General features: G+C 38.2%; 1 protein-coding gene across 8 annotated transcripts in view, besides 4 other annotated features; it reads right to left on the bottom strand.

Moving 5' to 3' along the window:
• Positions 1-5165, bottom strand: part of STARD3NL (STARD3 N-terminal like) — a 52425-nt gene extending 47260 nt beyond the window's left edge. For 6 of the 8 annotated variants that reach the window (NM_001363346.2, NM_001363339.2, NM_001363343.2 and 3 more), the window contains exon 1: positions 4990-5165. The gene's annotated coding sequence lies outside the window, so the exon portion shown is untranslated. Of the gene's footprint in view, positions 1-4264; positions 4321-4989 lie in introns of all 8 variants that reach the window. The other 2 variants (NM_001363340.2, NM_001363344.2) reach the window with 1 other exon arrangement.
• Positions 629-923: a silencer, noted in NCBI's record as "tiled region #13548; HepG2 Repressive non-DNase unmatched - State 23:Low". NCBI's record gives its function as "represses a minimal TATA promoter and a strong SV40 promoter by Sharpr-MPRA in HepG2 cells {active_cell/tissue: HepG2}" and the evidence as "EXISTENCE:reporter gene assay evidence [ECO:0000049][PMID:27701403]".
• Positions 4909-5188: a silencer, noted in NCBI's record as "silent region_18109". NCBI's record gives its function as "represses an Ori minimal core promoter by ATAC-STARR-seq in GM12878 lymphoblastoid cells {active_cell/tissue: GM12878}" and the evidence as "EXISTENCE:reporter gene assay evidence [ECO:0000049][PMID:35858748]".
• Positions 5439-5518: an enhancer, noted in NCBI's record as "active region_25864". NCBI's record gives its function as "activates an Ori minimal core promoter by ATAC-STARR-seq in GM12878 lymphoblastoid cells {active_cell/tissue: GM12878}" and the evidence as "EXISTENCE:reporter gene assay evidence [ECO:0000049][PMID:35858748]".
• Positions 7266-8465: an enhancer, noted in NCBI's record as "BRD4-independent group 4 enhancer chr7:38214547-38215746 (GRCh37/hg19 assembly coordinates)". NCBI's record gives its function as "activates an origin of replication core promoter dependent on BRD2, P300/CBP, MED14 and CDK7 cofactors, and independent of BRD4, by STARR-seq in HCT116 cells {active_cell/tissue: HCT116}" and the evidence as "EXISTENCE:reporter gene assay evidence [ECO:0000049][PMID:35650434]".

Below are 26326 nucleotides of genomic sequence, written 5' to 3'. Positions count from 1 at the left end.
ACTAGAGGAGGTACCACTAGCTTCTAGTGGGTAGGGGCCAGAGATGCTGCTAAACATCCCACAATGCACAGAACAGTCCCCAACAAAGAATTACCCAGCCTAAAATATCAACAGTGCTGAGGAACAGAGGCCCTGAAATAAAGCATTTAGAACAACTCCTGGCACAAAGAAAGCCCTCTATATGCATCAGTTATTACCACCAATGCCCAAGGCAAGTCTTGGCTGGTGTTCCTCCCTGGGCTAGAAAAAAGTCTAACGTCCTCTGTGTTACCTTTGAGGAATTTAACATACAATTAAAATAGAAAAAGGTACTTGAAATTCAGTTTCTACATCATTAATTTAATAAATGCTTAATTTTAAAAAATAATTCTGAGAATATATTTTCCTGAAACAAAAAGCAAACAAGAATATACTTTGGTGAGCAATAATGCACAGTATTTGAAAAGTATACCGTCCTGGAAAATATAGGACAGAGAAACCTATGATTACTGCAACATGAAAGGTCCTGGGCCAGATTCCTCCAAACTCCAGATTGAATACACTGAGGATGCTCGCTAGTCTCACAATACTATTTTGAAAACTGTAACTAGAGAGGAAGAAGAGAAGGGTTTTAAACTAAAGAGCCTACTGAACTTGATTCCATACCCATGCCTGTTCAGGAAGATCCTCCAGGCTTAAATAGCTCAGAGTCAGGGATTCCTGGTCAGAGTTAAAGCTTTAATCTTGATTCACCACAAGAGGTATCTTCCGGATCCAGGTCAGCTCACAAATAAAGCAAGCAAAACAACTGGAAAGGCCTGAGCTGTACTGATACATCATGTAAGAGGCTGCCAGGAGTTCCAACACAGGACATCAGAACTGATGACAGCCTGCTACAAGCCTCTGCAGCCATGAACCAGGGGTACTGACCAGGCTTCTTAGCCTAGCACTGCAAGTAACACAGGGCTAGTCTCTCTGGGCCTCAGTTTTCTCATCTATAATATTAAAAAGTGGAAATCGTTGTTAGTATTTTCCAATACCATAAACACAGAGAACACTGATTTTATTTGTGACAGTGTGCCTTCAACATTTATAGCCCAAAGACATGAGTTCCTCTCAAAGGACCCCTTGATAACTGCAGAAGGCAGACCCTTAACTAAAACAGAAAACAGGTTCTGTGAACCAAAGCTGAGAAAAGCCTAACAGTGTGTCTCTCAAAGATAAGATGATAAAAGTGTAAATAAAATAACAGGGCTCTACAATCTGCAAAAAACTGTGCACGTATATAACACAAATTGTCAAGTTTTTTAAGCTCAAGTCAACATATATTTTAACACCTGTGTATGTAATAGTACAATACTAAAGATATCAGGATTGGTAACTGGTGTCAAAGAGAGGCTCCCAAAAGTGCTATGAGAAAAGAAGGCTTCTGTTATAGAGACACGGGAAATGCTTTATTGATAAAGCAGCATTTGAGTGGACTTAGAGGGACAGGTAGAATTTTGGCTGGCTGGAGTTGTCTATCCAGAGGGCATTCCAAGCAGAACTAGTAATGGCACTGAAGCTGGAAAGCCTGAGGCAAAGACCAGGAGTCCAATTTGGGGCACTAGGCTCATGGCAGAAGATGGTGGTCAAATCATGATGACCTGGGTCTTCAGAATATGGGCATTAGTTGCATGAACGATCTTAAAGAATAGAGATAGCCAGGATGTCTAGGTTTGGTATTTTGGCCTAAAGAGCAAAAACTCTCTTTTGCTTAAACTTAAGTACCTTCCAATATTTAAAAAAGAAGATACTAATTCCATTAAAATTATTCTAAAGAAAAAGATAAATTCTATTAAGTTACAGCAGAGTCAAAAAGACATACAGAAAGTAAATTAAGCTATTTATTAGTCTGTTATTATTCATCTACCATATTCCACTCATAATTACTAAAATATGCAAACCTTAGAAATAAATAATGGGCATTTTTAAATTTTAAGACCACTGTTAACAGCTTTCTTATTCATATTAATTTATAAACTGATTTTGACTTATTTTTAAACATAACATATTACTAAGAAAAAGAAGTTATATCACTGACCTAAGGGCTTCCTCAATAACAGGAAGAAACTCTACTTGCTAAGAGAAACTATGAGTTAGCAAACTGTAGGCAATATTCCCATACTTCTAAGCGTAAGATTAAGGCTAGGAAAATAGTAACACATTTTAAACTCCTTTTCAAACATTTCTAAAATTAAAACAAAAATTTAAAAGTCATTTTTAAACCACAGCTTTCTATTAACAGAGACTAGATTCATCCAGAAAGTTTATACCTGTTCATTGTTCAGAAAAGGGAAGGAAAATAAGGCAAATGATTATTGTAGCCCAAGAAGAAGCAATGTCTCATCTCTTTAAAATTAACTTTTACAAGTTTATGGACAATAAATTCATGCTGTTGAAATATTATATTTTTATATGTACAGAAATATATTGATAGGGGACTTTCATGAAGAAAATAAAGCAGAAAAAACACTAGCCTGAAAATGAGCAGGGTGAAAATTTGATAGAAGTTTGGCCATTAGATGCATTATTTTAAAACTCACTGACCTTCTCTGGGCCTCCACAGCCCTAGCTCTAAACTAAGAGGGGTGAATCATGTGATCTCTAAAATGCCACATCATAAAACATAATTTTAAGTAATAGAGACTTGCTGCTCAGGGTAGCAAGGTTGGAGGTTAACAGGAGGTGGGGTAGAATGAATTAGGCTTTGAAGTAAACCTAATGGGAGTTCAAATACAAGCTCCATCAGTACTAGCTCAGTAGCTGAAGTGTAAGTTTCCCTCACTATCAAAAAGGCTTAATATTTTCCTTTGCCACAAGTTGGAAGGAATAGAATGTATGTAACATACCTGGCATATCGTAGGTACTAAAAAAAGGCAAGCGTTATGTTCCTGGTCAGTAATACAAGCTCTAATGAAGAACAATAATCCACTTGCCAATGCAGCTTCCTAGAATTTGGCTTGGAGAAGAGCAGGGACCAACTGCCACTGCTTTCCAAGTGGAAGGCAGGTACAGGTAATAAGAAAGAGTATTCACGGTTGGAAGTAGAAAGGATTAAAAGCAGGGAGCTTAAGAAAAAGCAAAGACTTTGAGTTCTGCATATAACAATGGAAAGGAAACAAACTACATCGGATAAGGTGCTGAAGGAAACAAGATCTTTTCATTAAGAGGGCCTCTGGAGAAAAAATATATACACAATAAATTACTGCAATGATTTCATAACCAAAACAAAGCAGAAAGTTGGCTAGAGTTTATGAGTATCACTAAAAGAAAACAAGACTCTGCAGTACACAAATTATCTTTCCCTTGCCTGCCTGTAAGGCTCACATGGGATACAAGATGATCCAATCCCTGTACACCTCTCCAGTGTCACCTCTGACCACTGTCTCCTCACCTCACCCTCCCCTAGGTTCACTCAGCTCCAGCCACACGGGCTTCCCTCTGTCCCTGGAACATGCCAAGTTCATTCTTCCTTTAGCTCCTTTACACTGTTTATATCTGCCTAGAAACTTCCAGCCCATTTTCTCATGGCTGACTCAGCTAAACATTCAGCTATCACCCAAAATGTCACCTCGTGTTACCTCCTTAGGGAGGTCTTCCCTGACCATCCCATTTCTCCATACAACCCAGTCACTCTCAAACTCTCTACCCAGTAGTATCTTTTCTGACATTTATTCCTATCTAAACTTGTCTCTTTGATTTACATGTTTATTATATTCTCCAACAAAAGTTAAAGTCTTTGAGGGTATGGGCCTTATCTAAATTGCTCACTACTCAATCTCTAAAACCTAAAACAATGAGTGGCATAGACAATCACTCAGGCAAACTGTCCATTGAATAAATCCAAATGATGTTAATCACCATCCTTCTGTGAACATAAGTAAGGTAATATCCCTCAGAGGCTGTTTCATTTCATTTCTTTCATGCAGTTTTAGGCAATGCAATAATGCAGTTTTAAAAGACCAATGTTTGAGACAGTTAGATTTTAAAGACAGTGACTTCTACACGACAACATATTGTATGTTTTCATTTTATGAACATGAATAATCCACCACCTTATCAGAATCCATCAATAAAACAAGGATACCATAAGTCGTTTTGTGAGATCCTGCTTCTAGAAAGAGGCGTATGGGTAGATATGGTATACAGACGGGAATTACCTTTCAGAATTCTTCCTAACAAGGAAATGTGGCAAACTGGACTAATTCCAGTAAAGATTTAATTAGACCCGTTACTTGGTTACCTTGCTAAACTTATCCAAACTAGTACTGTGTCAAGTGATGAATTCAGTGATTCCATCTGTGAAATAGAAGACAAATGACACAGTGAACAAAGAAAAGTTCCACAATGTCCACCCATGTTTGAACTAAAAGAGAGGGGGAAAAATCCCTAACCCTAAATCAAAAGTATTCAAGCAACTAAGATTTCAAACAATGGCGAGATATCTACGAGTAGGTGAAGCAGTTAACTGAAACCACAGGGAGAACATTCATGATTCGTGCTTTCTTTCTTTTTTTTTTTTTTGAACACGACTTTTCTCAATGAATAGAAGAGACTCACAACCGCCTGTGTCTGGACAACCCACGCATTACACCCAGTCACCAATTCTTGGTCCTTCTTGGGGGCCCATGGCGCCAGCCCGGGGCCGACCCCACCGGGGACTCCTCAGGGTCCGCAGGCTGGAGGAATGAGGACACTCCCGCTACCTATATCCATCCCTGAATCCCGGCCCACGCCGTGGGAGCAGCGGGGCTCAGCATTCTGCAACTTCACTCTTGTGTCCATTATGAGCACAGCCTGCCTCGCCCCTCCTCCTCCCCTGGAGGCTCGCGCAGGACTCAGGAAACAGAACAGGACCAGGATATGGCCTCCGTCCGCGGGTCCCCTGTACGCCCCCATGTAAGTCATCTGACCCAGGAGACTCAGTTTTCCAACCTGTCAAATAGGGGAACGAGAAACCCAGCCTACCTTAACGGGTGGTTCCTGGCCGGCCGCCCCAGGCTGGCCCGGGAACTGCGGATCCGCGGTCGCGCCCCGGCCTGAGGGGCGGGGCTTGGCGGGGCGTGACCGGGACCCAGTCCAGCGGACAACGCGCAGCCCACCGCCCGCACCCAGCAGCCCCGGGACCTCCGGCCCGTGACGTCAGCACGCTGACGTCGACGCACACAGCTCGCATCTCGCTCGAGGGACCAAAGACCCGACTGGTTCCTGAGTGCCTCCATAGAGGAGCCAACCTATTGGCCAGATGACATGTCAATCTTCTACTGACCAGTAAACGACGCGGGAAGGAGGGAGAGGGCGAGCCGGTCTGCCTGTAGGAATGGGTGGGAAATCTGGGCATCCAGCTTTGAAACACGGAGCTGGTTGGACTTTCCCGCATTGTGCATCGCACGGTTTAACAAGCGCCCGCTTCCTCTTCGTCCGCGTTTCTGCGCCTTCCGCTTCCCTTCAGTTATTCGGTGGGGGTTTATGCTCCAGCTCGTGGGAAAATGTCATGGAAATGGGTTTCAGGGCCTCTTGGGCACCTCATGCTGAGCCCTCCAGGAATAAAAACAGGGCATACCATTTCTATGTCGGTACTCAGCTCAAGAGTCACCTCTTCTAACTCTCACTTCCCCCAGACCTATTTAGGATACCTTTTCTCAGCGCTCCTAGTTCATAACTAACATCTCTAAGCGGTAGTCACATTTAATTATATCTATATGTCTGTTTTCACACGAAGTTAGGCACCTTTTATTGTTTTATTTAAAATTTAATTAAACTTTTCTCCCAACGGATGCTACACTTATTCACATTTTTAGAAGTACAGAGGTATACAGTGAACATTCTTTGGATCCCCATTTCATTATTTGTATATTTTTCCAAAGTCATTCTAAGTACCGTTATTAATTTTAAATTACACAAGTAAGATTTTGTCCATGCGAAAAAAAAAAAAAGCTTAAACGTTACAATTATGCTTATATCCCTTTTAGGCCCTAATTACAAACCCAGTCTGTAGATGATGACTCCTAGTTCCTGTGCATTTGCAAGTGTAGATGTTACTTTTTTACACTTAGCATTGAAATCTTTCCATATCTGTATATAAATCTACCTCATTCTCTGAAAATGCTGCATGTCCTCAGAACCAATATGTGTATATATATACATACATAATTAATGTACCATTCCCCCACCCTCACGTTTGTTTATTAATATTATTATGAGAAGCAATGGTACCATAAATATATATGTAGATGCCTTTTTGTACTTAGGTCCAAGTATTTCTCTAGAGTGCAGATACCAACAAGAGAATGTACTGGATCACAGAGTTTGCACGATGTAAATCCTTAATAGATTTCACTGATTTGCTCCCCTGAGTAGTTGTTTTAACTTACATTCCCACTGCTAGTATTTGAGCAATTTTTCCCTGTATCCTCGCCAATACTGATAAAATACAATTTAAAAAAATTTTATAAACTGATAGATGTGAAAACCTTTTAAAGCATAACACATATACAAAATAAGTGTAATAATCATAAGTGCTTGTCTTAGTGACAGTGTGAACAAACTTGTGTAACCACCGCCTCACAGCAAAATTTTAAATGTTTACCAGCAATTTAGAAGCTTTCCTCATGCTCAGTCTTAGTCATTATACCCCTACACACAGATAGGCACAATTCTGAATCCTACCACCCAATTAGTTTTGCCTGCTTCTGAATGTTTATAAATAGTCATACATAATACGCACTCTTATGTGGCTCTTTTTGCTTAATACTATATTTGTAAGATTGATCCATATTCAAGAATATAATAGTTTCATTTTCATTTTTGTATATAATTCTAAAATTTACTTGCCTATTCTACTGTTGTTTGACATTAGATTATTTAAAGTTTGGGGTAATTACAAATGACGCTGCTATGAATATTCTTGTACCTGTCTTATGATGCACATAGTTACACATTTGATTTTGGAAGATCCCTGGAAGTAGTGTTACTATGCACAGGGTATATATTCAATATATTCAACATTAATAGACACTGCCAAATAGTTTTTAGGTTTTACTAATTTATACATGCCCTAGTCGTGAATGAAAATTTCAGTTACTCTGCATCTTTGCCAACACTTACTATACTCATTTGTGTTTTGTGTTCTTCCTTTTTCTTTTCCTTTTTAAATGTTATACATTCTGGTGAATATGTAGAGGCATCACATTGTGGATTTAATTGCATTCACTCATGTGTAGCCTCTGAAGTCTCAAAGAAATTGATGGAAACCATTCCTAAGGAAGCCCAGATAGTGGACTTATTAGATAATGATTTAAGTCAACTGTCTTACATATGCTCAAAGAACTAAAGGAAACTGAGAGATGAAGCCGGCTGGGCTTCTAGGTTGGGTGGGGACTTGGAGAACTTTTCTGTCTAGCTAAAGGATTGTAAACACACCAATCAGCACTCTGTGTCTAGCTAAAGGTTTGTAAATGCACCAATTAGCACTCTGTGTCTGGCTAATCGGGTGGGGACTTGGAGAACTTTTCTGTCAAGCTAAAGGATTGTAGATGCACCAATCAGCACTCTGTGTCTGGCTAAAGGTTTGTAAACGCACCAGTCAGCACTCTGTAAAAACGGACCAATCAGCACTCTGTAAATGGACCAATCAGCGCTCTGTAAAATGGACCAATCAGCAGGATGTGAGTGTGGCCAAATAAGGGAATAGAAGCAGGCCACCCGAGCCAGTAGCAGCAACCCACCTCGACTTCCACACTGTGGAAGCTTTGTTCTTTCGCTCTTTGCAATAGATCTTGCTGCTGCTCACTCTTTGGGTCCGCATTACCTTTATGAGTTGTAATACTCACCGCAAATGTCTGCAGCTTCACTCCTGAAGCCGGGGAGACCACGAACCCAACAGGAGGAATGAACAACTCCAGATGCGCTGCTTTAAGAGTTGTAACACTCACTGCGAAGGTCTGCAGCTTCACTCCTGAAGTCAGCGAGACCACGAACCCACCGGGAGAAACAAACAACTCTGGATATGCCACCTTAAAGAGCTGTAACACTTACTGTGAAGATCTGTGGCTTCACTCCTGAAGTCAGCAAGACCATGAACCCTCCAGAAGGAACAAACTCTGGACACACCATCTTTAAGAACTGTAACACTCACCGTGAGGGTCCGCAGCTTTATTCATGAAGTCAGCGAGACCAAGAAACTCACCAATTCTAGACACAAAACCAAGAACATAAAACCTGAAGGAAACTAGGGTAATGATGTATAAACAAAAGGAAAATATCAATAAAAAGATAGAAATTATCAAAAGGAACCAAATAGAAAATCTTGGGCTTGCAAGTACAAATAAGTGAAGTGAAAACTTCACTTGAGAATTTCAAGAAACATTTTCGCATGTTGAAGGATGAATCAGTAAACTTTAAGATAGGAAAACTGAAATTATCCAGTCTTAGGAGCAGAAAGAAATAACAGGAAAATGAGCAAAGCCTAAGGAACCTATGGGATATCAACAAGGATACCGAAATATATATTACAGAAGTCACACAAGGAAAAGAGAGAAAAAGAAAAACTACATTAGCGGAGAAAAATGTCTCAGAACTCCCCAAATTTGAAAAGAGAAAGATAAGATTCAATTAAATAAAATGAGAAATGAAAGTGAAGACATTATATCAAACTTATATATGGAAAAAGGATTGTAAGATTTGACTGTGAACAGTTGTGTGCTGACAAATAACCTGAATGAAAAGGACATGTTCCTAGAAACACAGAAATTACCAAAACTAACTCAAGAAAAAATAGGAACTATAACCAGATCTATAACAAAGAGATTTAATCAGTCCTTTAAAAACAACAACAACAAAACCTTAAAAAACAAAAGTCAAAGACCAGATGGCTTCACTGGTGAATTCTACTGGACATTTAAAGAATTAACACCAATCCTTCTCAAACTCTTCCAAAAAATTGAAGAGGTGGGAACACTTCCTAACTGAATCTATGAGGCCACTAGTATTCTCATACCAAAGCCAGACAAAGACACCATAAGAAAACTAGAGACCAATATTCCTATATGAATATAGACTCAAAATCCTCAACAAAATATCAGCTATTTGAATCCAAAAGCATATTAAAAGGTTATACACTGTGACCAAGTGGGGTATATCCTAGTAATGGAAGGGTGGTTCAACAAAAGAGAATCAGTTTGCTTAACACATCATAATAATAAAATGAAAGAAACCATGTGATCATGTCAATTGACACAGAGCATTTGAAAAAAATCAACATTGTTTCTTGATAAAAACACTCAGGAAACTAAGAAAAGAAGGGAAATTCCTAAACCCACACCTACCTAACATCATACTCAATAATGAAATAAAGAAAGCTTTCCCCCTAAGATCAAGAACAAGACAAGGATGCCCACTTCTACTACTGCTCTTCAACATTGTACTGGAAGTTCTAGTTAGAGCAGTTGGGCAAGGAAAAGAAATAAAATGCATACAAATTAGAGAGGAAAAAGTAAAACTCTCTATTCAGAGATGGCATGGTCTTATATCTAGGGAATTCCAAGGAATCTGAAAAAACAAGAATGACACAACTAAAACTAATAATTTAGCAAAGTTGCAGGTACAAGATAAACACAAATTTAAGTTGTATTTTTTGCACTATTAATGAACAAACTGAAAAGTAAATTAAGAAAATTTCATTTACATAAGCATTCAAAAATTAAAATACCTAGAAATAAATTTAAACAATGAAAGACTCGTATACTGAAAACTAAAAATCATTGCTAAAAGCAATTTAATACATAAATAATTGGAATTGCATACCGTATTCAAGAATTGAAGACAATATAGTTAAGATGGCAATATTTCTGATCGCCATTGTTAAATTAAATAAACAGGAGGCCATTGACCTGATGCTGTCTCCATACTTTGAGTTCCTTCATAGTGCATCACAATCTAACTTAGTACATAAAGAAACAACTTGGGGGTCTGATTTTTAGAACACATAGCCTGATCTTTACCAATCACAGGCAGCCAACTGATCAGACCATGTCCATGTCAGTCAAATGTCTAGCTCTAATCAATCGAGCTATTTCTGCACTTTACATCACGTTCTGTCTATAAATACTGCCCATATTGCAAAGTGGAGCTCTGAACCTCTTCTATTCTGAGTGCTGCCTAATTCATGAATCATTCTTTGCTCAAATGCTGTTAAATTTAATTTCTCAAAAGTTTTTATGTTAATATCATCTATAGATTCAGTGAAATCTCTGTCAAAATTTCGACAGCCTTTTTACAAACAGGGAAAAACTAATCCTCAAATTCATATAGAATTGTCATTGTTAAATTCTACAAGAATTTAACAATAATTTTAAAATAGCCGAACAATCTTGAAACAAAACAAAGTTAAAGAATTCATATATTCTGACTTAAAAACTTACAAAGAAGCTATGGTAATCAAGAAAGTATGGCACTGGTGTATAGAGACATATAGATCATCGAGAGTCCAGAAATAAACCCATACAACTATTTCCACTTGATTTTGAACAAGGGCACCAAATGAAGAAAATGATAATCTCACCAACAAATGTTGTTGGTACAACTGGAAATACATAAGCAAAAGAGTGAAATGAGAACCCCTACCTCACTCCATTTACAAAAATCAACTCAGAATAGGCCAAAGACTAAATATCAGAGCTAAAACCAAAAACTCTTAGAGGAAAACATAGGAGTAAATCTTGGCAAGTCCTTGAATTTGGCAGTGGATTCCTTGATAGCCGAACAAAATCATAAAGATCAACAACAAAAATTTTGCTATTAACTGTACTCATCAACATTAAAAGGGCTTTACATCAAAGAACATTATCAAGAAAATGAAAACTCAATCTACAGAATAGAAGAAAATATTTGCAAATCATCTAATTGATAAGGTTCTAATATCCAGAATATATAGAGAACTCCTCAACTCAACAATAAAAAGACAACACAACTAAAAAATAGGAAAAGAAACAAAATAGACATTTCTTCAAAGAAGATATATAAATCACCAAGAAGACATGAAAACATGATCAAAATCATTAGTCAATAGGGAAATGAAAATCAAAACCACAGGTACGATTTCACAGCCGCTAGAATGACAAGAAATTGGAACCCTTGTGCACTTCTGGTGAGAATGTAAAATAGGGAAGCTGCTGTGGAAAACGGTTTGGTTGTTCTTCAAAAATAAAACATAGATTTACCATATGACTCATCATTTTCAGTTTTAAGTATATACCCAGAAGAATTAAAAGCATGTACTCAAACAAGTATATGTACATATATATGTTAATAGTACCACCATTCACAAGAACCAAAAGTTGGAAACATCCCAAATATCCATCAACAGATTAATGGTCAGAAAAAAATGTGATGTATACATACAATGGAATATTATTTAGCATAAAGAGGAACAAAGTGCTGAAACATGCTACAATGTGGATAAACCTGAATACATTATGCAAAATGAAAGAACCCAGACACAAAAGATTACATATTGTGCGATTCCATTTATATGAAATATTAAGCATAGGTAAAGCCATACAGACAGAATACAGATTGGTGCTTATCAGGGTTTGGGAGTAGGGGGAGGGTGGGAGAAAGTGCTTACGGGATAAGGGGTTTTCCTTTGAGGTGATGAAAATATTTTGAAACTAGACAGAAGTGGTAGTTGTACGACATTTGAAATATACTAAGTAAACCCTAATGAGTTTTTCACTTTCAAATGCTTAAGTTTATGTTATGTGAATTTCAACTCAATTAAAAAACATTAATTCAATGTCAATGTCTCAACTACTATCAAAAGAAATATGTTCAGAAGAGGTTTTATCTCCTTCCCAAACTTTCATGGAGCTGAGGTAGTAGGGAGATCTATAGCTACTGTAAATATGAAAGAACTATCTAAATTACTTGAAATATTTGCAATTTTTCACTTAAATTATGACAATGTCAACATTGAAATTACTAGGGAAAGTTCTACCATTATATCCCCAATTCATCTGCCACTCATCCTCCCACTTTGCATTTTAAATTAGGTATACCTTTTGTTTTTTGCCTCAGAACTGGGGCTTAGAAATATTTGTTGAATAAATGATGCAATGAACATATTAGTTTATAATTTCATGTAAACACAATGCTTCTATCAAATCCATTCTCTACGTTGCCTCTACTGAATCCATATGAGACATGATGAAATCCTGAAGTTTTGCAAGAAATATATTGATAATGGAAATCAGTAATACACATTAGGGTAGATGGAAAAGAAGTTTTAAATATGTAATCTATTAAAGACGTGGAATTGACAAAAGCTGACAATTGTCTTTATTTGGGAAAATAAAGGGGTGGGTAAACGGTGATTGGTTAAGGAATTTTGCCATGAACTTAAATCAGGAATTCAGGAGGAAGGCTATAAACTCATTCTTCAACATTTCATGTCTGAGATAGGTGTAGTTCATCTGGATGTCTAGAAGGCAACTAGATGATAAACCTGGAGAGCTCAAGAGAGACATCATCATGTGCATGCGTATAGATGCTATTGCTCAAAGTGAGTGTACAGATTGAGAAGGAAAGAGAACCAAGGTTGAATCTTGGGAATATCATTATTTAGAGTAGGCTGGAGCAGAAGAGACCAAAAGGAAACATGGACACAGTGAACTCAGGTGAGAGAAGAAACATAGGGAGTGACTAGAAAATATAGTGCTTTGAGTGCGAAGTGATAAAGACTTTAAATCAAGTAATAAGTGATATGGAGCAAAAATTAAGAGAACACAGAATAGAAATCCTAACAGAATGACACAAATACGGGAATATTTACTGAAATAGATCAGCTGCAATTTTAATCTTCAAGGATATAAGTGATATAAAGCAGTAAGACAGTAAGTGGAAGACGGAGAAAGACAAGCATTACAGGAGAAAAATGGAGGGAACAACGTGCGAGTCTACCATCCATTCGACCTTGACTGCATGTAAATTGCTATAGAACTTATTGAAAAGTCAACTTCAACTGCAGCAATTTAACTATCAGAAGTGGGAGACAGAACTAATGATGATTTATGAGCCCAGAGCTAATGTTAGAACTTAATAGAACTTTGCCAACCCAAACCATCAGTAAATTTGGTCATTTCCATCCTGTTCTCTCCTTCTTTGAGGTATTTGATTGCATTTTGGTGAAGCAGTTTAGCTCACTGCGGTCTGTCATGTAACACAGGACCACAACTCCCATGAAAATCCTCTCCTGCTCCACTGAGTGAGTCAAGACAGCCAGGAAGGAGGCACCCTCTGCCACTGTGACTCACCATGCATGGGACTGAGCTGGTGACCCGGGGAGGGAGCTGCTGCATCTCTCTGACATGTGGACCCAGTGTTAGCCAAAACTGGTCAAACCACCAATTCCACACTTCAAATTAGGCCTCTGACTTGCAAAGCTGCCAAGAAGTCATACAGAGGTCATTGGTCTATTCTTCCCAGCTGTGTTTGTAAAGTTTTCACACAGTTTATGTTGGCAAGAAGATGCTCCTAAAGATTCTAGTGGTAACGTGTGAGGAAGGGCCAACATAATGGCAGAATATCCAGGAAAGCAATGTTTACAATTATCATTAATTATTTTCAAAGGAAGTTATCCACATTGCCTTTTGGAGTTATTGGGGGTTTTCTTAGTCTTTTTGTAAGCATGTGAAACCTGATGCTGATTCTGTGTTTAAAAAAGAATTCAAATGAAACCATTGCTAGTAATTCTTAACTTTTGCCAGCAAGATATTGATATAAAAGTTTCTCCGTAAAATTATGCTATCCATAAAAGTTGCTTTTTTGAAAAGGAAAAATAATACAAACGGACAACAATATAATAATCAATATTCATTTGTGGTGAACTCACTTCCTATAATCAGAAACTGATAGAGTTATTGAGGTACTTTTTGTTTGTTTGTTTTAAAAATTAGCCTGTTTAAAATTTTAGGGAAAAGGAAATTGGACCTTCCTTCCTTCTTTCCTTCCTCTTTTCTTTCTTCCTCTTTTAGCTACAGAAAAAAGAAAAATCTAGAAAAACAGTTTTCTCATCTGGCTCTATTATCAATGCTGGGTTCTAACAGTTTCAAAAAAAGTTTGTGTTTCACAGGGGTTCACTAATATCTGATTATAACAAAGTTAGACAGTACTTAGACCCATTACCTATATGAAATAAACCTGCACAATATGTTAATTTCAACTTTTGACTTTAAAAATACCACATCACTTACATAAGTGACATAGGAATACATACTGCTTGCATAAATATGTGGTGAGTGTAGAGTGAAAATCTCCTTTCAAACACACCCTTTTCCAGTCCCTCCCCAAAGATGATTACTGTTAACTGTTAACCATCTAGGTACAGTCTTTCCAACTTTCTGTCTGTATTAACATTGTATGCATTAATATTTTAAACCAGTATATTGAACAGGTAAAATATGCAGGCTATAATTTTAAAACATCTTTATTTTTGTTTCCTATTGTCTCCTTAAACAAGCTAAGTAGGATTTTTTTTTTTTTTTTTTTTTTGGCCAACAGATTAAAACTGGGTGTGTCTATTGACTCTTCTGTTCATTCCTAGTTTACTCTAAGTTGTAAACTATAGTCCTATACTAGAAATTCGAATGCCTAGTCTTTTATGTTGATCAGCACTTCATTCTCCTCTCAGAGGAAAGCCATCCCCTTTCTCTTAGCCAGGTCCTTTACATATGGACAACTTGCTCCTGGATAAAAGGATGCTGTCTGTTTCTTCTGTCTTTCTAATAGCATCCTTGCCCACTCTCTGACAGTGATGGTTGATCCCAATTGAAGTTGGAGCTGGAGGGGTGAGAATGGAGGAGAAGGAGAGGTCGGGGAGAGAGTCAGACAGGAATGATGTTAATGTTAATGAACTTTTGTAAGATGGCTCTGGGCCAGGGTGTTTTGTTTTGTTTTAATGTGGCCAAAAAATCACACACCACATCATAATATAAAATTTACCGTCTTAACCATTTTAAGTGCATAGTTCAATAGTGTTAGCTGTATTCACATTGTTGTACAACTGATTTCTAGAAGTTTTTCATCTCACAAACTGAAACTCTTTATACCTGTTGAAAAACTACCCACTTTCCCCTTTTCCCCAACCCCCATTCTACTTTCTGTTTCAATTAGTTTAACTATTTGAGGTGCCGCATCTAAAAGGAATCAATAAGACCATCTGCTTGTGATTGACTTATTTTAGTTAGCATAATGTCTTCAAGGTTCATCCATGTTGTACCATGTGATGAGATTTTTTTTAAGGCTGAATAACATTGCATATATGTTGGGAACAAGCCCCCCAAAATCTGGCCATAAGCTGGCCACAAAACTGGTCATAAACAAAATCTCTGCAGCACTGTGACATGTTCATGATGGCCATAACGCCCACGCTGGAAGGTTGTGGGTTTACCAGAATGAGAGCAAGGAACACCTGGCCCGTCCAGGGTGGAAAACCACTTAAAAGCATTCTTAAGCCACAAACAATAGCATGAGCAATCTGTGCCTTAAGGAATGCTCCTGCTACAGTTAACTAGCCCAACCTATTCCTTTAATTCGGCACATCCCTTCCTTTCCCATAAGGGATACTTTCAGTTAATTTAAGATCTATAGAAACAATGCTAATGACTGGCTTGCTGTTAATAAATATGTGGGTAAATCTCTGTTTGGGGCTCTCAGCTCTGAAGGCTGTGAGACCCTTGATTTCCCACTTCACACCTCTATATTTCTGTGTGTGTGTCTTTAATTCCTCTAGCGCCACTGGGTTAGGGTCTCCCGGACTGAGCTGGTCTCGTCACATATATATTCCACATTTTTAAAAAATCCATTCTTCCTTTAAATGACATTTGAGGTTGCTCTCACCTCTTGGCTATTGTGAGTAATGCTTCAGTGAACACTGGCGTGCAAATAGCTCTTCAAGATCCTGCTTTCAATTCTTTGGATATATATCCAAAATAAGATTGCTGGATCATATGTAACTGTCTTTTTAATTTTTAAAAGAAACTTCATACTGTTTTCCATGGCAGCTACACAATTTTACATTCCTGTGAGCAGTGCACAAGGATTCCAATTCTCCATATCTTGACAATGCTTGTTATTTCCTGGTATATTTTGTTTGTTTGTTTTTGTGATATCTATGTGGTTTTGATGTGCATTTCTCTAATGTTTAATGATATTGAGCATCTTGTCATATGCTTTTTGGCCATTTGTATATCTTCTTTGGAGAAATATATATGTAAGTCCTTTGCCAGGTTTTTAATCAAGTTACTTGGGATTTTTTTGGTTGCTGTTGAGTTGTAGGAGTCCTTTATATATTCAATTATTAGCCCTTTGGCAGACATATGATTTGAAAATATTTTCTCTCATTCTGTAGGTTGCCTTTTCACTCTGTAAATTGTTTCCTTTGATGCACATAAGTTTTTAAGTTTGATATAGTCCCATTTGTCTATTTTTGCTTTGGTTTCCTGCACTTTTGGTGTCATAATAAAATAATTTAACAAATTATTGTGTTAAAAAAGAATTCAAATGAAAGCACTGTTAATAATTTTTAACTTTTGGCTGCACGATATTGATATAAAAATTTATTCATAAAATTATGCTATCTATAAAAGTTGCTTTTTAAAAAATGAAACATAATACAAGCAGACAACATCATAATAATCAATATTCATTCATGGTGAACTCATTCACTATACACAGATCATTACTAAATCCAATATTATGAAGCTTTTCCACTATAATTTCTTCTAGGAGTCTCAGAGTTTTGGATCTTATGTTTAAATCTTTAATCCATTTAGTTTTTATCTATGGTGTAGCTTAAATGCCCAACTTTGTTCTGTTGCATGTTGATATCCAATTTTCCCAGCACCATTTGTTGAAAAGATAATCCTTTCCTCATTGTATGGTCTTGACACCTTTGACCAAGATCATTTGACCATATGCACAAGGGTTTATTTCTGGCCTCTATATTATGTTCCATTGGTCAAAACATTTGTCTTTATGCCATTACCATAGTTTTTATTACTGTAGCTTTATAATGTTTTGAAATTAGGAAGTGTGAGGCCTCCAACTGTTTTCTTTTTCAAGATATTTTGGCTATATGGGGGTCCCTTGATTTTCTGTGTGAATTTTAGGATGGTTTTTGCTATTTTTGCAAAGAATGTGACATTGCTACTTTTATAAAGATTGCCTTGAATCTGTAGATTGCTTTGGGTAGTGTGGAAATTTTAACAATATTAAGCTTTCTCACTTATGAACACAGGATATGTTTTTATTTATTTATTTGTGTTTTTTCAATTTCCTTGAGCAATATTTTGTAGTTTCCAGTGTACATATTTTTATTTTTGTTGGTTAAATTTATTCCTAAGGATCGTTTTTATGGTTTTGTAAATGAAATTGTTTTCTTAAATTTCCTTTTGGGTTGTTCGTTGTTAGCTTATAGAAATGCAACTAATTTTATGTGTTGGTATTGTAACCTGCAACTTCGCTGAATTTGTTTAACAGTTCTGGCAGGCTTTTTTTGTTGAACTTTTAGGGTTTTCTACAATATAAAACCACATCATCTATAAACAGGAATAATTTTACATTTACCTTTCCAATTTGGATGCCTTTTATATGTTTTTCTTGTGTCATTGTTCTAGGACTTCCAGTGCTATGTTGAATAGAAGTGGTGAGAATGAGCATCCTTGCCATATTCCTGATCTTAGAGGAAAAAACTCAGCTTTTTACCATTGAGTATGATGTTAGCTGAAGGCTTTGCATATATGGCCTTAATTATATTGAGGTACATTCCTTTTTTTCCTTGCTTATTGTGTGTTTTTATCATGAAAGTGTATTAAATTTTGTCAAATGCTTTTTCTTCATTGACTGAGACGATCATGTGCTTTTAATCCTTCACTCTGTTAATGTTATGTTTTACATTGATTGATTTTCATATCTTGAACCATCTTTACATTCCAGGAATAAATCTTGCTTGGTTATGGTGTATAATTCTTTTAATGTGCTGTTGATTTCGAATTGCTAGTACTTTGTTTATAATTTTTGCATTAATATTTATTATGGATATTGGTTTGAATTTTTTCTTTTCTTATAGTAAGTTTTCTTTTCTTATCAGGGTAATGTCAGCTTCATGAACCGAGTTTGGAAGTGTTCCCTCTTTTTTAATATTTTAGAAGATTTTGAGGAGTTTTGGTATAAATTGTCCTTTAAATATTTTTTAGAATTCTTCAATAAAGCCATTTAATAATGGGCTTTTTTGGGGAGAAGATTTTTGATAATGAATTTGATCTCCTTACTAGTTATAGATATGTTCAGATTTTTAGTTTCTTTATGATTCAGTCTTTGTAGGTTTTATGTTTCTAGCTATTCATCCATTTCTTCTAGGTTCTCTATTTTGTTGTTGTATAATTGTTCATAGCAATCTCATATAATCCTTTTCATTTCTGTTGCATCAGTTGCATCTGTTCTGTTGAGGTGTAACTTTAGATCATTAATTTGGGATTTTTCATATTTTCCAATGTATGCATTTATCACTATAAACCTCCCTTTTAGTACTGCTTTCATTGTATCTTATCAGTTTTGGTACATTGTGGTTTCATTTTCATTGGTCCCAAGATATTTTCTAAATTCCTATATGATTTTTTTCTTTGACCTTGTTTGTTTAAGAGTTTGGTGTTTAATTTCCACATATTTGTAAACTTTCCAGTTTTCCTTCTGCTATTGTTTTCTAGTTTTATTACATTGTGGTTGTAAATGATACTTGGTATGATTTCAATCTTTTTAAATTTGTTAAGACTTGTTTTGTGACTTAACGTATGGTCTGTCCTGGAGAATTTTTCCATGTGCACTTGAGAAAAATGTATATTCTGCTGTTTGGGGTACAGTGTTCTGTATATGTCTATAGGTCCCATTGAGCTATAGTGTTTTGCAAGTTCTCTGTTTCCTTATTGATCTTCTGTCTGATTATTCTATTCACTATTACAAATAGAATATTGAAGCCTTCTACTATTTTTATTGTTGTCTATTTCTCCTGTCAATTATGTCAATATTTTCCTCATACATTTGGGACCTCTGATGTTGAGTATATTTGCTTATGATTGTGATAGCTCTCTGGAGAATTGATCATTTTGTCATTATAAAGTGTCCTTCTTTGTTTCTAGGGCAGTTTCTGACTTAACTCATTTATGCCTGAGGTTGCAATTTTTTGAATTTTTGCAATCAGACCTTGGCGATGATCTTGAGCAGTAGGATATAAATAACTCCCACATGCTTAGTGCCAGGTCTGTCCCACAGACCCTCGCTGACCGATGGATGAAATGAGTACTCAGACACAGGTATGCAGTGTAAGAGCAGCTAGGGGACTGCCTGGCTCTAGTGGCCAAAGTGCAGCCTCAAGAAGCTGGAGCTGCTTGCTTTTTATTCAGTGCAGGCACATGCCAAGAGCCTGGAGCAAACACAATCTGCGAGTAATTAACATTTATTGTTTTCCTTTCAGGGAACATCACCCCTTCACTTCCTTGCACATACTCCTCTCCCTTTGCCTCAGGGTTAGAGAACAGCTGCCTTCAGCTATTCTCCCCTGAAGCTATGCAGAGCCTTCTGATCTTTTAGAAGGCCTGCTCCTTTCCCGATAGTTTCTCCCATCACTCTAATGGATGTCCTACATCCCCCCCTTTTCTGTTTTTTGCATCAGGTTTTGTTGATTGAAGTAGCACACAGATGTGCACAGTGACAGGCTTGACAGGCACAGTGGTTACAGTTGTGTTCTGGCTTTGCATCCTAGAACCAGTAGATAACATAAGGCAAACATGAGTATAATCAGTAATATTTTTTTCCAATTAAAGAGTGACCCCCAGGAGTGGGGGTCTATCCAGCAGGGGTGTTTTTGCACATTGTTCTATAGGGTTGTTGTTGAGAAACCCCACCAGGGGTATATTAATCCCTCCTAGCCAAGCAGTCCCATTGTTAGAAGCTGGGAAGGGGGTGTCCACCAAAGTAACAGAGTGGAAGAAAGGAGGATCTAGAAGATGGACCTAATAGAGTGTAGCAGGTACAGGCTGCAGGTAGAGTGAGAGAATAAGAAAAACCAATACCCTACGAGAGTTGCAATGTCCAACAGAGAGAATAGCAAGGAACAGATTATCTGGAGTGAACAGTGTTTGTGTCTGGAGCAGGATTTGCTCAGCCTTCTGAGTTGTCTCCATCAGCATAATGTCCAGGGCCTGTGTTGTCCAAGGAAGCTGCATCATCTGGGGATGTGGGTCCTGCAGGATCATTTCCTTCATTTCTGGTACCAGGTTGGGTCCCAGCCATGCCGTGGTATGGTTTGATGTGTCATGCTGGAATCCAAAGAGGACCTGAGGGGGTGTGAACACAAGCATATCCTCTTCCCCATGTTAATAAATCATTTGGACTGCACCATAGATTACCATTTACATCTTTCCATAAAACTAAAGGTTTTACATCTTGGGAGGTTTTAGCAAAGTGCTTTTATATGGCTGATTAAAATTTACTATCTGAATTTAAGAAATTAAGGGTGAATAAGACTTGTGCTAGTAGTGTTGTAGGGTCCTTACTCGTATTCCTCCTTTTTTATTTTCTGAGCATATTTTTAAGGGTGGAGTGGGCACGTTCTACTGTGGCCTGTCCTTGGGGGTTATAGGGGATACCCATGGAATGTTGGACATTCCATGTGTGACAAAATTGTTGAAATTGTGAACTGGTGTAAGCCAGACCATTATCAGTTTTAATTTTTGTGGGCTGCCACATAAACGCAAAAGTTAAGAGAAGATGTTTAATGACATATCGGGTGGACTCTCCAGGAAGAGCATGTGCACTAATTAGGTGGGAAAAGGTATCTACGGATATATGTACATGTCTTAGTTTTCCAAATTCAGGGACGTGCGTAACATCTGTTTGCCACAACTCATTAGGTTCTAGTCATCTAGGGTTATAACACCTGTTGAAGGAGGGGATGGGCCTGTGAGCTGGCAATCAGGGCATTGCAGGATAATTTGTTTCACTAGTCTTTGGGTTAACTGAAATTATTTAAATTTCTCCAATTTTAGTGGAAAAATTGATGTGACTGGGTGGCTTGTTCAAGCAGTGACGTCATAACCTGCAGGTCTGCTTGATCATTGCCATGAGCTAGTGGACTGGGCAGTGAGCTGTGGGCCTGAATGTGTGTAATAAAAATAGGATGTGTATGCTGATCCAGCAATGAAGTTGAAGAAAAAGGACACAGAAGGTGGGCTCAAGAGTGGACTTAATGAGGGCTGTTTCAAGGTTTTGCAATAAATAAATGGAGTAAGCAGAGTCACTAACAATATTGATGGGCTGAGTGGAAAAGGATTCCAGGGCCAATATTCCAGGGCTCCAACCTCAGCTCTCTGAGTACTAGTAAACCCAGATCGAGTGAGGGAGTTATGTGGTTCCCACCAGATAGCTGCTTTTCCATTTTTACCAGAGCCATCAGTGAAAAGTGTTAAAGCATTAGATATGGGGTAGTGAACTACCTTTGTAGGTATAACTACAGGAATATAAGATAAGAACTGGAGTAGTTTGCCAGCGGGAAGGAGGCTTTAATGCCATAGCCAATATTTTGGCTTTGTATGTTTCAGTCTCCACCAGCTGACATGCTCATATAAGTTCCCCGACTGTAGCTGCCTTTCCTCTGATTACCTGCATTGTCTGCGGGCAGTCTACATTAGCATTTTCATAAGCCCGTTGCAACAATAAGATATCAGTGGCCTGGGCATGACTAATTTGTCTCTTAATTGCCTTGGTTAACTGATTTATAAATTCAACAAATCGCTCCTGAGGCCTTTGTTCTACATTTACAAAAGATCCCTGTTGAACTCCATCTTTGGGGATTCAGTCCCAAAACCTGAGGGTGCACAAGGACACTTGTGCTTAGGCTTGGGGGACAAAATTTAATTGTTGTTGTACATTGACATAGGGACCCCTCCCCTGGAGCATAGCAGCCATTATGTTTTGCCTGGCCAATTGATTCTGGTTGACTTCTTGTTCGCACAATTCATCATATTCTGCCCTCCAGAGGAGGTATTGACTGGCCTCTAAAGTTGTTTTAGCTATGACCAGTCCCATGGGGTCATATGGAAGTTATCTGCTATGGCCTCAATTAATCCTTTTGTAAATGGGCTAGCAGCTCCGTTTTCTCTAATGCTTTTTCTTATTTCTTTATAAGTGTTGAAAGTAGTGGGTTCATGTACCCAATTGCCTTGTTGATCTTGCATCACTGGGCAGGCCAAGAGCTCCCCTTCTAATGCCACTTGCCTAAGAGAGCGTCCCGTAGTGTATCCCTTGTCTTTTTTCCAATTTATTGGGGGAGGGGGCTCAGGAAAATTCTCTGTCTCTTCTGTGGCACCTATACCCATAACGGCAGGGCTGAGGGAGGAGGAGGGGGCAGTAAGGTAGGTGATGGTTCCTCTTCCCTTCCCTTTTTAGGCTCTTCTGTATAGAGCAGGGACAAAGCAGCCCTACCTAACGCCCATAACATTAAAGATGTTACTAGGACCCGTTGCCCTTGTGCATGATGTCTTTTAAGATTTCTTCCCACTTGTTCCCAGAGCTCTAAGTCTAGCGTGCCTTCTTCTGAGAACCATGGGTTATGGGAAACAACAGTTCGCATTAGGTCCCTTAATTAGGCCTCTGAGACAGAGGATCCAATAGCTTTAAGCAGCTGTTTCAATACTTTTATATACTGTTGCTGTTGAGATGATAACTGTTGTCTCATGGTGAAACCCTAGCTTGAAAATCCCCTTGAACTTGGAAATCCTGAGCAGGCACCAATTACTTACTGCACAGTCACTTCACCTTTGTTTTTGAGGATTCTGTCATGATCCGTTGCAGCATTCCTCAGATGGGGCACCACCTGCCAAGTCTGTCCCACAGACCCTGGCTGATGGATGAAATGAGTACTCAGACACAGGTATGCCGTGTAAGAACAGCTAGCAGACTGCCTGGCTCTAGTGGCCAAAGTGCTGCCTAGAGAAGCTGGAGCTGCTTGCTTTTATTCAGTGCAGGCACATGCCAAGAGCCTGGAGCAAACACAATGTGCACGTAATTAACGTGTATTATCTGTGGGTAATTAACATGTATATATTCCCCTTTCAGGGAACATCACGTGCATGGATGTTCAAAGGTCAATTCCTGGACAACTTCAAACAAACAAGCCTGATCAAGATAACTTCCCCTTCACTCCCTTGCACATACTCTTTGGCCTCTGTCTCAGGATTAGAGAACAGCTGCCTTCAGCTATTCCCCCCAAAGCTCTGCAGAGCCTTCCAACCTTTCAGAAGGCCTGCTCCTTTCCCTATAGTTTCTACCACCACTATGACAGATCTCCTACAGCTTAGCATTCCAATAATGGAACACTAGGCATAAATGACTAAAGTCTATTTTGTCTGATGTAAGTATAGCCCCCTGATATGGCTTGGATCTGTGTCCCTGCCCAAATCTCATGTTGAATTGTAATCTCTAGTGTTGGAGATGGGGCCTGTTGGGAGATGGTTGGATCGTGGGAGTGGTTTCTCATGAATTGTTTAGCACTATCCACTTGGTGCTGTTCTCGTGATAGTGAGTGAGTTCTCACAAGGTCTGGTTGTTTAAAAGTGTGTAGCTCCTCCCGCCTCCATCTCTTTTGCCCTTGCTTCTGCCATGTAAGAATTTGGGTCCCCCTTTGCCTAATGCCATGTTTGTAAGTTTCTTGAGGCTTCCCCAGAAGCTGAACAGATGTCAACATCATGTTTTCTGTACAGCCTGTAGAACTGTGAGCCATTTAAACCTCTTTTCTTGATAAATTACCTAGTCTCAGGTATTCTTTTTTTTTTTGGAGATGGAGTCTCACTCTGTTGCCTAGGCTGGAGTGCAGTGGCACAATCTCGGCTTACTGCAAGCTCCGCCTCCCAGGTTGACTCCATTCTCCTGCCTCAGCCTCCCCAGTAGCTGGGACTACAGGCTCCCGCCACCATGCCTGGCTAATTTTTTGAATTTTTAGTAGAGACAGGGTTTCACCGTGTTAGCCAGGATGGTCTCAATCTCCTGACTTCATGATCCAACCACCTTGGCAACCAGAGTGTTGCAGGCGTGAGCCACTGTGCCTGGCCTCAGGTATTTCTTTATAGCAATATCAGAATGAACTAACACACCACCTTTGCTTTCTTTTGGTTACTATTTGTGTGGAATATAGTTTTACATTCTTTCACTTGCAGTCTATGTATGTCCTTAGATCTAAAGTCCCTTATAGATAGCATATAAGTGGATTTTTAAAAAATCCACTCAGCCAAATATATCTCTTGATTGGTGTTTTAATCCATTTACATTTAAAGTAATTACTGATAGAAAGACTTTTGCCATTTGTTCCTAGTTTTCTGTATGTCTTGAAGCTATTTTTTTTTAATCCTCTTTTCCTCTCTTGCTGCCTTCCTTTTGTGTTTGGTTGATTTTTGTAGTGTCATGCTTTGATTCTTCTCTTACTTCCTTTTGTGGATATTCTATAGAAATTTTCTTAGTGGTTAGGATGGGAAGTATGTAAAACATCTTAAGGTTACAACAATCTATTTTAAACTGCTAACAACTTCAATTGCATATAAAACTACTCTACGTTTCTGTCCCCTGCTGATTTTATGTTATTGATATCACAAATTACATTTTTTATATTGTATATCTGTTGACATAGATGTATAGTTATTTTTATGCTTTTGTCTTTTAACTTCTATACCAGAATAAAAGTGATTACAATACTAGAGGATTCTATATTTATTTACATATTTACCTTTCCCAGAAAACTTTACATTTTCATATGCTTTTATATTGCTGTTGTAAAGTAAAAATAAAAACCTAAGCCCCTCACTACTGAATGGACTCCCTCCCAGCCAAGGGGACTCCAGAAAGACCTTAAAAACTGAGTTCTTGGTCATGATGGGGTGGGAGATCATATATGCCTCATTCATACTCCCTCCCTTTTGGGGTTTAGATACAAAAACTGACCAGAATTAATATTAAAATAGAGATTATAAGACTGACAGAACTGGCTCTCTAGGGCCATAAGATACCAAATTATAAATAGGATCTAAGGCCATGCAAGCAATGGTTTAAGTCATGTACTTCTACACTTAGATAATAAACTATGTTTTAAGTGCCACAAGGTTTTTCTCTTTCTCTAGCAGCTAAACAAGCGCTGGCCTTGAGGTAAGCAATGCTGAAGCACTTGCAGCTCACCAACCAACAAACACTGACTAACTGAGTCCCTCTGTTCCTCAAGCTGTAAATACAGTGTTGATTGAATAAGACACTGATTTTAGTTATTTTCCCCTGAAAAGAAGACCACCAACAATGTACTGTTTCTGGCCAGTTTACAGGGGTTATGCACTTGAGTGCCTTTGTGTTCTGAAAAGATCCTTTGACATTTAGGGCCTAACTGTAATACATTTATATGTTAAGGCTCCATCCCAAAATGAACATGGGCTATGTATGACCATGTAACGTGCATGTGTGTTCAATACACATGCATTAGAACCACCTTCATGAATATTCATAGCTCCTCCTATAACCTGTTAAATATGTATGTTTCACCAACTCATTCAGCATAAACCTCCTACCCCAACCCCTATTCCTTTGAAGTGCCAGTTTCTGGGTCTCTGTCAGAGGCCATGCTTCCCTGCCTGAAGAATGGCCACCTTGCATGCTGTAACCCTTTACAATAAGTAAAGTCTCCTTCTCCAAATCTTTTTTGAGACAGGTCTTGCTCTGATGCCCAGGCTGGGGTACGGTGGCACGATATCAGCTCATTGCAACCTCTGCCTCCCAGATTCAAGTGATTCTCCTGCCTCTGCCCCCTGAGTAGCTGGGACTATAGGCCTGTGCCACCACACCTAGCTAATTTGTGTATTTTTAGTAGAGATGGGGTTTCACCATGTTGGCCAGGCTGATCTTGAACTCCTGACCTTAAGTGATCCACCTGCCTTGGCCTCTCAAAGTGCTGATTACAGGTATGAGCCACCGCACCCAGCTTCCTTCTCCAAATTTGTAAAGACTTTGTAATTTTTTTAAAAGTTAAGATGTAGTGTCCTTTCATTTCAACTTGAAGGACTCCTTTTAGCATTTCTTGTAGGATATGTCTAGAGGTGTTAAATTCTCTTAACTTTTATTTATCTAGAAAAGTCTTAATTTGCACTTAATTTTTTGAAAAATAGTTTTACTGGATAGTATTTTTGATTGGCAGTTATTTTCTTTTTTTTTTTTTAGTGCTTTG

This window comes from Homo sapiens, chromosome 7 (assembly GCF_000001405.40).
Source record: "Homo sapiens chromosome 7, GRCh38.p14 Primary Assembly".
In the NCBI taxonomy this organism is placed as follows: Eukaryota; Metazoa; Chordata; class Mammalia; order Primates; family Hominidae; genus Homo; species Homo sapiens.
The sequence above is the reverse complement of the archived record's forward strand: the minus strand, read 5'-3'. Positions and strand labels throughout refer to the sequence as shown.